General features: G+C 51.0%; 1 protein-coding gene across 6 annotated transcripts in view, besides 2 other annotated features; it reads right to left on the reverse strand.

The window, feature by feature from the left end:
* Positions 1–15,313, reverse strand: part of RDH13 (retinol dehydrogenase 13) — a 30,418-nt gene extending 15,105 nt beyond the window's left edge. For 5 of the 6 annotated variants that reach the window (XR_007066569.1, NR_027381.2, NR_027382.2 and 2 more), the window contains exons 1-3: positions 8,761–8,941; positions 4,950–5,068; positions 2,446–2,601 (exon numbers count right to left, since the gene is read on the reverse strand). Coding sequence is in view for 3 of the 6 variants with exons in the window: in XM_011526408.4 (XP_011524710.1) it covers positions 2,446–2,601; positions 4,950–5,068; positions 8,761–8,825 (340 nt within the window). In the remaining 3 variants the exon portion in view is untranslated. Of the gene's footprint in view, positions 1–2,445; positions 2,602–4,949; positions 5,069–8,760; positions 8,942–10,088; positions 10,206–15,114 lie in introns of those variants that run through there. The other variant, NM_138412.4, reaches the window with a different exon arrangement.
* Positions 7,284–8,251: an enhancer, noted in NCBI's record as "H3K27ac-H3K4me1 hESC enhancer chr19:55572859-55573826 (GRCh37/hg19 assembly coordinates)". NCBI's record gives its function as "activates a minimal SCP1, AML or CMV promoter by ChIP-STARR-seq in naive H9 embryonic stem cells {active_cell/tissue: H9 hESC(naive)}" and the evidence as "EXISTENCE:reporter gene assay evidence [ECO:0000049][PMID:30033119]".
* Positions 11,951–12,151: a silencer, noted in NCBI's record as "peak3563 fragment used in MPRA reporter construct". NCBI's record gives its function as "represses an SCP1 promoter by STARR-seq MPRAs in K562 erythroleukemia cells {active_cell/tissue: K562}" and the evidence as "EXISTENCE:reporter gene assay evidence [ECO:0000049][PMID:32103011]".

Raw genomic sequence — 15,313 nt, forward strand, 5'->3', positions numbered from 1 at the left:
CCATTCCTTGTTCATTTCCTGAGTACCCGTTTACTGAGCGGGGCACATTGACTCTGAAGAAGAAAGCTTTGGCCCTTTCAGTGCCAGACTAGAAAAGAAACAAAGCAGCTGGGCATGGTGGCTCATGCCTGTAATCCCAGCACTTTGGGAGGCTGAGGCAGGCGGATCACAAGGTCAGGAATTCGAGACCAGCCTGGCCAACATAGTGAAACCCCGTCTCTACTAAAAATACAAAAATTAGCCGGGCATGGTGGCACCCGCCTATAGTCTTGGGAGGCTGAGGCAGGAGAATCGCTTGAACCCAGGAGGCGGAGGCTGCAGTGAGCCAAGATCGCATCATTGCACTCCAGCCTGGGTGACAGAGCAAGACTCCATCTCAAAAAAAAGGTCTTGCTCTGTCATCCAGGTTAGAGTGCAGTGGCACAAATACGGCTCACTGCAGCCTTGAACTCTCGGGCTCAAGTGATCCTCTTGCCTCAGCCTCCTGAGTAGCTGGGACTGTAGGCACATGCCAGGATGCCCGGCTAATTTTTTTTTTTTTTTAATCTTTGGTACACACAAGGTCTCACTATGCTTCCTAGGCTGGTCTCTAACTCCTGAGCTCAAGCAATCCTAAGAGAAGAGATTTTAAATGTGGTCACCACAAAAACAGGTAAGTATTTGAGGTAATGCATATGTTAATTAGCTTGATTTAGCCATTCTACAATGTATACAATGTACATCATGCTGTACATAATATATACAAGTATACATGTCAACTAAACAATAAATAATTTTAGTGTATTCTTGAGTCTATTTAAAGATGAACAAGAATAGAAAAGCTAGAGGATGGTCCCAGTTTTACATAAAAATATATAAATACACACACAAACCTATTATAAACAAGACTAGAAAGATCCATAAAAGTGATTCTCCTGGGGCTGGTGCAGATCAAAGTTGTTTAGTTCTGTCTTCTTTTTTATTGAGACAGAGTCTCACTCTGTCACCCAGGCTGGAGTGCACTGGCACAATCTCAGCTCACTGCAACCTCCGCCTCCTGGGTTCAAGCAATTCTCCTGCCTCAGCACCCTGAGTAGCTGAGATTACAGGTGTGCACCACCACGCCTGGCTAATTTTTGTATTTTTAGTAGAGACAGGGTTTCACCATGTTGGCCAGGCTGGTCTCGAACTCCTGACCTCAAGGGATCCACCTGCCTCAGCCTCCCAAAGTGCTGGGATTAACAGGCGTGAGCCACTGTGCCCAGCCAGTTCTGTCTTCTTTACATTGCAGTATTTTATAAATGTCCCATAACAAACACATATTTCTTTAACCATGGTGGGGAAGGCACTTGATCAATAAATGCTTAATAAGGTCAGGTGCGGTGGCTCACGCCTGTAATCCCAGCACTGTGGGAAGCTGACCTGGGTGGATCACTTGAGCCCAGGAGTTGGAGACCAGCCTGAGCAACATGGTGAAACCCCAGCTCTAAAAACAAAACAAAACAATAAAACAATAATTAGCTGTGTGTGGTGGCGTATGCCTGTACTCCCAGCTACTTGGGAGGCTGAAGTGGGAGGATCCCTTGAGCCCAGCAGGTTGAGACTGCAGTGAGCCATGACTGCACCACTGCACTCTAGCCTGGGTGACAGAGATGGATCCTGTCTCAAACAAACTAATTATTCAGGTAGGGCACGGTGGCTCACACCTGTAATCCCAGCACTTTGGGAGGCCAAGGGAAGCAGATCACCTGAGGTCAGGAGTTCGAGACCAGCCTGACCAACATGGTGAAACCCTGTCTCTACCTAAAACACAAAAAATTAGCCAGGCACGGTGGCGGGTGCCTGTAATCCCAGCTACTCAGGAGGCTGAAGCAGGAGAATCATTTGAAATCGGGAGACGGAGGTTGCAGTGAGGCAAGATCACACCACTGCACTCCAGCCTGGGCAACAGAGCGAGACCCCATCTGTCTCAAAACAAACAAACAAAACAAAGTCAGCCGGGCGCAGTGGCCCACGCCTGTAATCCCAGCACTCTGGGAGGCTGAGGCAGGAGAATCACCTGAGGTCAGGAGTTCCAGACCAGCCTGGCCAACGTGGTGAAACCCCGTCTCTACTAAAAATACAAAAATTAGCAGGGTATGGTAGCAGGCATCTTAATCCCAGCTACTCAGGAGGCTGAGGTCCGCGCTTGAACCCAGGAGGCAGAGGTTACAGTGAGCCGAGATCGCGCCATTGCACTCAGCCTGGCCGACAGAGTGAGACTCCCTCTCAAAATAACAGTAGTAATAAATAAATAAAGTCGTTGCTTGCAGGCTGTACAAAAAAAGGCAGCAACTGGACTTGGCCCCTAACTCATAGTTTGCCAAAACTCTGCTCTAAAGTTTGCTTGCTTCATTCACTTCTCAGAGCCTGGCCCTGGGAGCCGCCTATCCCAGTCCTCATCCCACATGGCCAGCGTTCTCCTACCTTCAATGATCTTTGCTGCAAACTCTCGGATAGACTTGAGGGAAGCCAAGTCCAGGTGCCGGGCGTTGACATGGTGATTGAGGGTCTCCCCGCGGATGTCCTTTGCTGCCGCCTCACACTTCTCCATGTCTCGGCAGGCCAGGATGATGTTGCCTCCTGAAAACCCAGGATGGAAAAAGATTTAAATTAATAATCCACTCCTGGGTACTGACCCCAGAGACATGAAAACATACGTCTACACAAAAACACATCCACCAATGTTCACTGCGGCATTCTTCACAAAAGCCAAAAGGTAGAAACAACCAAATGCCCATCTGTGGATGAAGGGACAACAAAATGTGGTCCATCCATAGAGATGGAATATTAGACGGCCGTGAAAAGGAGTGAAGCACTGGCTCATGCTACAGCAAGGATGACCGTCAGAAACACTGTGCTCGGGGAAAGAAACCAGACACGAAAGACCACACAGCGTACAATCCCATTTACATGAATTCTATGTATATGATTTCACACCTATGAAACGCCCAGAATAGGCAAATCCATAGAGAAAGAAAATAGATTCTTGGTTTTCTAGGGCAGGGGGTGGGGAGAGGGAATTACAGCTTGATAGTTACAGTGAGCAGGTTTCTTTCTAGGGTAACAGATGTTCTAAGATTGATTTTAAAGATGGTTGCATCATTCTGTGACTATACTAAACATCACTGAATTGGTCGGGCACGGTGGCTCACACCTGTAATTCCAGCACTTTGGGAGGCCAAGGCAAGAGGATTCCCCATCCTCTCCTTTTTTTTTTTTTTTTAGATGGAGTCTCACTCTGTCACCCAGGCTGGAGTGCGGTGGCGCAATCTCGGCTCACTGCAACCTCCACCTCCTGGGTTCAAGCAATTCTCCTGCCTCAGCCTCCCGAGTAGCTGGGATTACAGGCACCTACCACAACTAGCTAATTTTTTATTTTTTTATTTTTAGTAGAGACAGCGGTTTCACCATGTTAGCCAAGCTAGTCTTGAACTTCTGACCTCAGGTGATCCACCCCGCGGCCTCCCAAAGTACTGGGATTACAAATAAGCCACAATGCCCAGCCTCCAATTTTTTTTGTTGTGGTAAAATACAAATCACTTAAAATTTATCATCTTAACCCCCTTTTCTTTTTGTTTATTATTATTTTTTTTTTTTTGAGTCAGTCTCACTCTGCTGCCGCGGCTGGAGTGCTGGCGCCATCACAGCTCATTCAGCCTTGAACTCCTAGGCTCAAGTGACCTGGGACTATAGGTACCACCTGTGCCAGCATGCCTGGCTAACTCTGGTAGAGATGGGGGTGTTGCTATGGTGTCCAGGCTGGTCTGGAACCCCTGGCCTCAAGTGATCCTCCTGCCTCAGCCTCCAAAAGTGCTGGAATTATAGATGTGAGCCACCGAGACCCGCCCTCTTAGCCATTTTTAAGTGTCCAGTTCATTGGTATTAAAAACATTTATGGCTGGGCCGGGCATGGTGGCTCACACCTGTAATCCCAGCACTTTGGGAGACCAAGGCAGGTGGATCACCTGAGGTCAGGAGTTCAAGACCAGCCTGGCCAACACATTACAAACTTAGCTGGGTGTGGTGTTGCATGCCTGTAATCCCAGCTACTCGGGTGGCTGAGGCAGGAGAATTGCTTGAACCCGGGAGGCGAAGGTTGCAGTGAGCCAAGATCATGCCACTGCACTCCAGCCTGGGCGACAAGAGCAAAACTCCATCTCAAAAAAAAAAAAACAATAATAATAATTCCTAATGTTGTGCAACCATTACAACCATCCATCTCTCAAATTGTTTCATCTTGCCAAACTAAACTTCCGTTTCCATTAAACAGTAACTCCCCATTCTCCCCTCCCCTCCTGACCCCTGGCAAGCACCATTCCAACTTCTCTATGAATTTAACTGTAGGTAGCTCCTGTAAGTGGAATCATACCGTATTTGCTCTTCTGTCGACTGGCTTATTTCACTTCATGGAATGTCCTCAAGGTTCATCTGTTTCAATGCCCTTTTTTTTGTTTTGCTTTGTTTTGTTTTGTTTTTGAGTCTCACTCTGTCACCCAGGCTGGAGTGCCGTGGCGCCATCTCTGCTCACTGCAACCCCTGCCTCTCAGGTTCAAGCGATTCTCCTGCTTCAGCCTCCCAAGCAGCTGGGACTACAGGTGCCCACCACAACTCCTGGCTAATTTTTGTATTTTTAGTAGAGAGGGGGTTTCACCATGTTGGTTAGGCTGGTCTCGAACTCCTGACCTCGTGATCCGCCAGCTTTGGCCTCCCAAAGTACTGATTACAGGCGTGCACCACCGCGCCCGGCCAGAATGCCCTTCCTTTTTAAGGCTGAATCATATGCCCCTGTCTATAGAAGCCACATTCTGTTTCCCTGTTCATCTGTGGATGGGTGCCTGGGTTCCTTCCACCTCCGGACTGTGAATAATGCTGCAGTGAGCATGGATGTACAGATATCTCTCTGAGAGCCAAAGCAGGGGAGATTTTACCTCTCCTGGCCAGTTCCAAGGCGGTCTGCTTCCCGATGCCTGTGTTGGCACCCGTCACGATGACCGTCTTCCCAGGGATGGTGGCCTTGCTGGGGCAAGCCCCACCGGTGACATAGTCCCTGAGGGTGAGAAGCGGCACGGTCAGTCCTGTGGGCCCACTCTCACCCCACGTGCCCCTGACTGAATGATCTCAGGCAACCTTGTCTGAGCTCACTCACATACCCCAACTGAAACACAGACATCATCACATCACACCAAGGGACCTCTGTCATGTTCTCCATAAGTGGCTCCACCCAGTGTCTGGCGTGTGGAACGCCTTCAGCAAGTGACAGTCATTATTTTATAAATGCTCACTGCATGAGATTCCCGGCCAGGTGAGGGGGCTTGCACCTGTAATCCCAGCACTTTGGGAGGCCAAAGTTTTGGGGGTGGGGGGGGGCGGGGGCGGATCACTTGAGGTCAGGAGTTCGAGTCCAGCCTGGCAAACATGGCGAGACCCCGTCTCTACTTAAAATACAAAAATTAGCCAGATGTGTAGGGAAAAGAGAGATTAGACTGTTACTGTGTCTATATAGAAAGGAAAGACATAAGAGACTCCATTTTGAAAAAGACCTGTACTTTGAACAATTGCTTTGCTGAGATGTTGTTAATTTGTAGCTTTGACCCAGCCACTTTGACCCAATCTGGAGCTCACAAAAACCTGTGTTGTATGAAATCAAGGTTTAAGGGATCTAGGGCTGTGCAGGAAGTGCCTTGTTAACACAATGTTTCCAAGCAGTATACTTGGTAAAAGTCATCGCCAGTCTCTAGTCTCAATAAACCAGGGGCACGATGCACTGCAGAAAGCTGCAGGGACCTCTGCCCTTGAACACAGAGTATTGTCCAAGGTTTCTCCCCGTGGGATAGTCTGAAATATGGCCTCGTGGGATGAGAAAGACCTGACCGTCCCCCAGCCCAACACCCGTAAAGGGTCTGTGCTGAGGTGGATTGGTAAAAGAGGAAAGCCTCTTGCAGTTGAGAGAGAGGAAGGCCACTGTCTCCTGCCTGACCCTGGGAACTGAATGTCTCGGTATAAAACCTGATTGTACATTTGTTCAATTCTGAGACAGGAGAAAAGCCGCCCTATGGCGGGAGGCGAGACATGTTTACAGCAATGCTGCCTTGTTATTCTTTACTCCGCTGAGATGTTTGGGTGGAGAGAAACATCAATCTGGCCTACGTGCACGTCCAGGCATAGTACCTTCCCTTGAACTTAATTATGTCATAGATTCTTTTGCTCACATGGTTTTTGCTGACCTCATTATCACCCTGCTCTCCTACTACATTCCTTTTTGCTGAAATAATGAAGATAATAATCAGTAAAAACTGAGGGAACTCAGAGGCCGGTGCCGGTGCAGGTCCTTGGTATGCTGAGCGCCGGTCCCCTGGGCCCACTGTTGTTTCTCTATACTTTGTGTCTTATTTCTTTTCTCAGTCTCTCGTCCCACCCAACTAGAAATACCCACAGGTGTGGAGGGGCAGGCCACCCCTTCACAGGCGTGGTGGTGCACACCTGTAATCTCAGCTACTCAGGGGGCTGAGGCACGAGAATTGCTTGAACCTGGAAGGCGGAGGTTGCAGTGAGTCGAAATGGTGCCAGCCTGGGCAACAGAGCGAGACTCTGTCTCAAAAAAATTTAAATTTAAATTTAAAATGCCCGCTGCACGAGATTCCCAAGGCTGCTGTACGCATTACCACAGACTTAGTGGCTTAAAACCACATAAGTGCATCCTCCTCCAGTTCGGCAGGTCAAGAGTCCAAAACATGTCTCACTGGAATAAATCAAGGTATTGGTAGAGTCAGGTTCCTTCTGGAGGCTCTAGGGAAGAATCCACTTCCAGCTCCTACAGACCGCCACATTCCTCCACTCTTGGCCCCGCCTCCATCTTCAACCTGCATCCTCACTGGAACCTCTCCTTTATTTATTTATTTATTTACTTATTTATTTTTGAGACAGAGTCTCGCTCTGTCGCCCAGGCTGGAGTGCAGTGGCTCAATCTCAGCTCACTGTAACCTTCGCCTCACAGGTTCAAGCGATTCTCCTGCCTTAGCCTCCTGAGTGGCTGGGATTACAGGCACATGCCACCACACCTGGCTAATTTCTTTTGTATTTTTAGTAGAGACAGAGTTTTACCACGTTGGTCAGGCTGGTCTCGAACTCCTGACCTTGTGATCCGCCTGCCTTGGCCTCCCAAAGTGCTGCGATTACAGGCGTGAGCCACCACACCCAACAACCTCTCCTTCTATCTTCCATCTCCCCTCTGACTGAGCCTCCTGCTCCCTCTTATAAGGACCCTATAAGACTACAAGGCAGGACCGGCACAGTGCCTCACACCTGTAATCCCAGCACTTTGGGAGGCCAAGACAGGAGGATCACTTGAGGTCAGGAGTTCGAGACCAGCCATGGCCAACATGCTGACACCCCATCTCTACTAAAAATACAAAAATTAGCAGGGCTTGGTGGTGCACGCCTGTAGAGTCAGCTACTCGGGAGGCTGAAGTGGGAGGACCACCTGAGCCCAGGGAGGGTGAGGCTGCAGTGAGCTGTGACAGCATGACTGCACTCCAGCCTGGGTGACAGAGAGACCCTGTCTCCAAAAAAAAAAAAAGACTACATGATAATCATAAGATCCTTCACTTGGCCGGGCACGGTGGCTCACGCCTGTAACCCCAGCACTTTGGGAGGCCAAGGTGGCCAGATCCCCTTTGGTCGGGAGCTCAAGACCAGCCTGACCAACATGGAGAAACCTCGTCTCTACTAAAAATACAAAATTAGACAGGCGTGGTGGCACATGCCTGTAATCCCAGCTACTCAGGAGGCTGAGGCCGGACAATCGCTTGAACCCGGGAGGTGGAGGTTGTGGTGAGCCGAGGTCGTGCCATTGCACTCCAGCCTGGGCAACAACAGCGAAACTCTGTCTCAAAAAAAAAAAAGATGCTTCACTTAACACATCAGCGAGAACCTCTGACACGTGAGGTAATGTCGTCACACCTTCCGAGGATTAGGACGTGGACCCCTCTACGGAGTCACGACTCTGCCCACCACACCCATGTCCCACAGAGGCTAACGCTGGCAACAAGATAGTGTCCAGCAACAGGAGGCTGAGCAGGTAAACAGCACTGCACCCACAGGAGAGAAGGGCACCATGCAATACAGTGGCCACCAGCCACAGAGGCTAATTTTTAAGAAAGTTTAAATTAAGTAGGCTGGGCGAGGTGGCTCACGTCTGTAATCCCAGCACTTTGGAGGCCGAGGCAGGCGGATCACCTGAGGGCAGGTGTTTGAGACCAGCCTGGCCAACATGGCAAAACCCCGTCTCTGCGAAAAATACAAAAATTAGCCGGGCGTGGTGGCGCACGTGTGATCTCAGCTCCTGGGGACGCCAAGGTGGGAGGATCACCTGAGCCCAGGAGGTCAAGGCTGCAGTGAGCCAAGATCGCGCCACTGCACTCCAGCCTGGGCGACAGAGCCAGATTCTGCCTTTAAAAATAAACGAACAAATAAATAATACAAAACAACAAAATAAAGAGTTTAAAAGTCTGGAAGGAAAGCAACATTTACAAGGGCCCAGGCTCGCCCTTCCCTCCGAGTGACCTTGGGCCGGTGACCTGGCCGGCCAGAGCGCAGGTTTGCCCCACTCCGGGCGGGCACTGCGGGTCGGGAGCTACGGGGCCTGGACCCGGGTGCGAGGGGCGGGGGTCTCCGCCGCCTTCCCGGCCCCTGCGCTGGGGGCCCGCCTTGACCGCGCACGCGGGGCTAGAATGTACTCACTTGAGCAGCACGGCGGCGCCTGCTACCGTGCCCAGCGCCGACAGCGGCAGCAGGTAGCGGCTCATGCCGGGCCGGGGACAGGCGTCAGGCGTCAGGGGTCGGCGCGGAGCTTGCTGCACACCAGCCGCCTGGGTAGCTCCGAGGAAGAGCGCGCGACGCAGCCACAGGCGAGCGGAGGCGCAGGCGCGGCTGGGCCCGCGTCCGGAACTGGGCTGCGAGGGGCGGGGCGCGGGCGGAGGGGGCGGGGATCCTAGGGACGGGACCTATGAGCATCGGTCCTGAGCGCTGTCACAGCTGGGATTGGTGGTTTCAGGAGCCTGTGGGCGTGGCTAGTCCGGGGGCGGGGCCTATGGTTTGTTCGAATGACGTCACACTTGCCGCAGCGTATAAGGCGCTACGCAGTTCTGGAGTGAAATAGGTTCGAATCCCACCACTGTCAATTCCAGACTGTGACCCTCTGTGTGTCTTTCAACTATATCAGCCTATTCCCTCATCTGGAAATGTGTGTTTACCTTCTTCATAGACTTTTGGAGATAATTTGAGAATTTCCATGCACAGAAACAAGGATCTAGTAGCCTGTGGGTACCCAAGCTCCTGGGGTCCTGCAGGAGAAGGCGGCTGGGGGCCTGGACTCCTGGGTCTGAGGGAGGAGGGGCTGGGGGCCTGGACTCCTGGGTCCAAGGGAGGAGGGGCTGGGAGCATGGACTTCTGGGTCCGAGGGAGGAGGGCCGGGTGCCTGGACTGCTGAGTCTGAGGGAGGAGGGGCTGGGGGCCTGATTCATTCCCAAATTATCAGAATCTCATCCCCATGTCTGGCCCTGCACAGAGATATCTTCCCTGAACTCTGCCTGAACTACCTTTCTTAGATTGAGTATTGCACACACTCCTGCACTTACCTGTCCATGTTTGTCACCCCCACCAAACCGGGATGCACCTCTGGGCACCTGCTTCCCCTTGCACTGCTCACAGCGAGTGTATCTGATCACCACCTCCTACCCCTGACTGTGCCTGAGGTGCCAGGAGCAGACACCGCTGGAAACAGGGAAGAATTCAACCCAATCTAACTAGGAGTAAGTTTTCTTCCTCATCAGATGAACTGTCATCTTCTTATATGAGCCCTGCCATAATGGAGATTATACAGGCAGGAAGAGCTATTTTAAGACCTTAGTCAATGGCCGGGCACGGTGGCTCACGCCTGTAATCCCAGCACTTTGGGAGGCCGAGACAGATGGATCACGAGGTCAGGAGATTGATACCAGCCTGGCCAACATGGTGAAACCCTGTCTCTACTAAAAATACAAAAATTAGCTGGATGTGGTGGCACTCACCTGTAGTCCCAGCTACTCAGGAGGCCGAAGCAGGAGCATCACTTGAACTCGGGAGGTGGAGGTTGCAGTGAGCCGAGATTGCCCTACTGCATTCCAGCCTGGCGACAGAGTGAAATTCTGTCAAAAAAAAAAAAACCTTAGGCCTGTAGACCTTAAGCTCTCACCATCTCAAACGTATTAAACCAGTTACACAATGCCAAATGCTGTATAAGAGGCACTTGGAGGAGTCAAATTCATAGAGACAGAAAACAGAGTGGTGGCTGCAGGGGGCTGGAGATGAGATTGGGAAGTCACAGGATTTGTTTTTGTTTGTTTGTTTGTTTTGTTTTGTTTTTTGAGAGACAGTCTCACTGTGTCACCCAGGCTGGAGAGCAGTGGGCGATCTCAGCTCACTGCAACCTCTGCCTCCTAGGTTCAAGCGATTCTCCTGCCTCAGCCTCCCGAGTAGCTGGGGCTACAGGCACGTGTCACCACACCCGGCTAATTTTTGTATTTTTAGTAGAGACGGGGTTTCACCATGTTGGCCAGGTTGGTCTCAAACTCCTGACCTCAGGTGATCCACCTGCCTCGGCCACCCAAAGTGCTGGGATTACAGGCATGAGCCACCGCACCCGGCCGGGAAGCTGTTTTTTAATAGATACAGAGTTTGTTTTGCAAAATAAAAAAAAGACCTGAAGGTGGACGGTGGTGATGGTTGCACAACAATGTGAATATACTTAACATCACTGAATTGTACACTTAAAATGGTTAAGATGGTACATTTTACTTTATGCATAGTTTACCAAACTAAAAATAAAGAAAAATTTTAGACTGGGCATGGTGGCTCATGCCTGTAATCCCAGCACTTTGGGAGGCCAAAGTGGAGAATAGTATGAGCCCAGGAGTTTGAGAGCGGCCTGGACAACACGGCAAAACCTTATCTCTACAAAAAATACAAAAATTAGCAGGTTTGGTGGCACGCATCTGCACCCTCAGCTACTTGGGAGGCTGAGGTGGGAGGTCTGCTTGAGCCCAGGAGGTCAAGGCTATGATGAGCTGTGATTGTGCCACTGCACCCCAGGCTGGGTGACAGAGCAAGACCCCATCTCAAAAATAATAATAATAAATGTTTACATTTAATAACATGGGCAATTGGTTCAGATGTTCATTTTCTCAACCTTGAAAAAAAAACAACACTGTTTTTCCCTGTCTTTTTCTCCTTTTCTGTAAACTGAAATCCTAATATCATTGACTTCCAGGACAGAGATCAGCAAACTTTTTCTACAAACAGCCAGATAGTAAATAATTTCAGCTTTGTGATCCACACAGTGGCTGTTGCACCTCCTCTGCCAGAGGAGCTGGGAAGCAGCCACAGATGATGTGAAAACAAGTGAGCACAGCTGTGTTCCCATAAAACTTTATTTATAAAAATAAGCAGTGCGCCACAGTTCGCCAGCTCCTGTTTGAGAGTCTCTCTCCGATGCCCAGGCTGGAGCGCAGTGATGCAATCTCAGCTCACTGCAACCTCTGCCTCCTGGGTTCAAGCGATTCTCCTGCCTCAGCCTCATGAGTAGCTGGGATTACAGGCGCTCGCCGCCACACCTGGCTGATTTTTGTATTTTTAGTAGAGACGGGGTTTCACCATGTTGGCCAGGCTGGTTTTGAACTCCAGGCTTCAGGTGATCCACCTGCCTCAGCCTCCCAAAGTGCTGGGATTACAAAGCGTGAGCCACTGCGCCCAGCTACCTGTCATTGAATTTGGAAGGATGGCATGAAGTCATTCATAACAAGGACTTAATCCATAGTAAGTGCCAGAACATTGCTGGCTGTTAATATGGTTATTATAAAGAGAACAATGCATGCATATTCCTCCTCTGAGGATCTCCTACCTGATTCCCAGACACACCCAAGGGAGTTAGAACATCTGTTTGGACTCCAGGTGGGCTGTCCACGCCTTTACCATTTTCCTGGTTGTTAACATGTTCCTGATCAGCACTGGGTGCTGTCCCAGGTGCTGAGAGGATTCTCCCACAATGCCCTTTGCTTTCCCCATCAGAGGGTTTATGGCACCCAATTCTCATTCACATTCTGTCTCTCCTTTCTCGTTCTTCTCTATCTCTCCTCTCTCTGTCTCCTTTTCTCTTCCTCTCTCCCTCTCTGTCTTCTCTCCCTCTCTCTCCCTCTCTCTTCCTCTCTCTCTTCCTCTGTCCTCTTTTCTCTCTCTCTCTCCCTCTCTCTCACATCTCTCTTTCCCTTCCTTTCTCTTTCCTCTCTCTTCCTCTCTCCCTCTCCCTCCTTCTGTCTTCCTCTATCCCTCTCTTCCTCTTTTTTCTTCCTCTCTTCTTGTCTCTTTCTCTCCTCTCTCTCTCCCTCTTTCTCTTTCTCTCTCTCTTCCTCTCCCTTCCTCTTCCTCTCTCTCCTTCTTTCTTCCTCTCTCTCTTCTTGTGTGTGTCTCTCTCTCTCTGTTCTCTCTCTCCCTCTCCCCCCAACTCTCTTTCCCTACACACATCTTAAGAGGCCTCAGCAGTGTAAGGTAAGTTTAGCGACCCTGTGGCTGTGTAGAGATAAGCAAAGGGGGGCAAGGAGCTCCAGTGGTCCCAGACTCCAGCCATTTGAGTCTTTGCAGCCCAAGCACTGCCCCAGCTTCTTGACAGCCCCAGCCATCACCAAAGGGCACACAGATAAGCTGCCTCCACCAAGGCCTGTGCAGATGGTAGGTTTTTGAGTAAAATAGATATGATCCTTGTCTGAAGCCACTGAGTTTTAGAATAATTTGTTATATGGCCATAGTAACTGGAATGATTGCTGTAGGTTTATTTTATTTTATTCATCCTTGCTGCATGCAACACATGCATGGCTCAGTAACTAGAAGGAAAGAAGAGAAGAAGGGAGGGAGAGGCAGAGGGTGGACAGGAGAGGATGGTAGGAAGGAAAGACAGGAAAGGAGGGTGTTGGTGGCCTTGCCTGCAAGCTGAGCAGACACCACGCAAACAGGTGACCTCCCAGTTAAGATGGAGGGGACTCAGGGCTCAGGAGGGGCAGAAGGTCCCCGTGTCGGAGAGCTGGGCAAGCTTTCTGCAGGAAATGATGGGGATCACGGCCATGTGAGCCGGCAAGATTTCCCTCAGCCAGGGAGGAGACTCCGGGCTGTGGGAACAGCTTAAGCAGAAGGCATGGGACAGGAATGCATATGAGAGATATTGTGGGAGGAGGGAGGGCTGCCTGGGCTGGCATGCAGGGTATGGGAGGGGGTGGAAGGGCTGAGGCGGGAGCCATCAGTAAAAGGACCCAGAGCGCGGCTCCAATGCCATGGTAGGAAGCTTGGCGTTGACTCAGAGGGCGCTGGGTACCGCTGAAGAGTGTTGAGCCAAGGAGGGTCATGTCACGGGCAGATACATGTTTTAGAATTTCTTCTTTTCTGGCTGAGATGTAGAGTATGGACTGGAGAGAAGCACAGGGGACATAGGAAAGGTAGTTCTAGAAAGAGGGGCTGTCCCACCAGGGAAAGTCAACCAACTGTTCCCCAGTATCCATTCCTCCCTTCCAGCTCATGGCACTAAAGCCACTGATTGATTAGCTGGGTGCTATCAATCTCTCTCTCATCTCTCTCTCCCTCTTTCTCTCCCCCTCATCTGTGTCTTTTCTCTCTCTCATCTCTCTGTCTCCCTCTTTCTGTCCCCCTCCTCCGTGTCTCCTCTCTCTCTCTTCTCTGTCTCATATCTCTCTCATTGCTCTCTCCCTCTTTCTCTCCCCCTCCTGTGTCTCCTTCTCTCTCTCTCTTTCTCCCCCATCTCTCTTTCTCTCCCCCTTCCTCTCTTTCTCCTCTCACTCTTCCTGTTTCTCTCTTTCTCTTTCTTCCTCTCTTTCTCCCTGTCTCTCTCTTCCTCTTTTCCTTTGTCTCTCTCTCTCCCCCCAACTCTCTCTCCCTACACACATCTTGAGAGACCTCAGCAGTGTAAGATAAGTTTAGCTACTCCACGGCCTGGCACGGTAGCTCACGCCTTTAATCCCAGCACTTTGAGAGGCCAAGGCAGGCAGATCACTGGAGATTAGGGGTTTGAAACCAGCCTGGCCAACATGGTGAAACCCTGTCTCTACTACAAGTACCAAAAAATTAGCTGGGCATGGTGGCACGCGCCTGTAGTCCCAGCTACTCGGAAGGCTGAGGCAGGAGAATCGCTTGAGCCTGGGAGGCGGAAGTTGCAGTGAGCCGAGACCACACCTCTGCACTCCAGCCTGGGTGACAGAGTGAGATTCTGTCTCAAAAAAAGAAAGAGGAGGCCGGGCACTGTGGCTCAGGCCTGTAATCCCAGCACTTTGGGAGGCCGAGGCATGCAGATCACGAGGTCAGGAGATCGAGACCATCCTGGCTAACACAGTGAAACCCCGTCTCTATTAAAAATACAAAAAAATTAGCCAGGCACGGTGGCGGGTGCCTGTAGTCCCAGCTACTCGGGAGGCTGAGGCAGGAGAATGGCGTGAACCCGGGAGGCGGAGCTTGCAGTGAGCCGAGATCGCGCCACTGCACTCCAGCCTGGGCGACAGAGCAAGACTCTGTCAAGAAAGAAAGAAAAGAAAAGAAAAAAAGAAAAGAATAAAGGGAGGGAGGGAAGGGAAAGGAAGGGAAGGAAGGAAGGAAGGAAGGAAGGAAGGAAGGAAGGAAGGAAGGAAGGGGAGGGGAGGGGAGGGGAAGGGAGGGAAGAAAGGCAGGCCCTGATGTTCAGGGAGCTGAGAGTGAAGTCACCGGCTCCAACCCAGGATCCAAACTCAAGTCTGTCTGGGGTCCTATCCCCGTCACCACCCCCCGCCCCGACCCATCCCCCAGAGACCTGGGAAGGAGCCAGGCTCCTCCGGTTTCAGGAAAGGGCTGCACAAACCACCCCGCCACGATCCCTCCCAGAGAACAAACAGCTCCCGGCCACCGGCAGTCTCCCTCCTCCTCCTGCCAGGCTGGTTCCCAGACCCACCCTCCCTGTGTCATAAGCGCCTCTCCCCGCACTCTCACCAGGGCTGGCTGTTCTCAGAGGAACGCCCAGGAAAAACCTACCCGAACCCCTTTCAGCTGGGAAGGGGACCCGCCTGGGCTTCCTCACCGCCGATGAGACCTCCCTCGTCGTACACTTAGAGCTGCCTGTGTTTTCCTTCCTTCCTTAAGCGGGCTGGGAACTCTAGACACTCAGGGATGGGCCAGCCCATTAGAGTAAGCATTCGGCCACCTCTAGGCTGCTACGGTCACTGCTGCTGTC

The sequence above is a fragment of the Homo sapiens genome, chromosome 19 (genome assembly GCF_000001405.40).
Source record: "Homo sapiens chromosome 19, GRCh38.p14 Primary Assembly".
NCBI classification, from domain to species: Eukaryota; Metazoa; Chordata; class Mammalia; order Primates; family Hominidae; genus Homo; species Homo sapiens.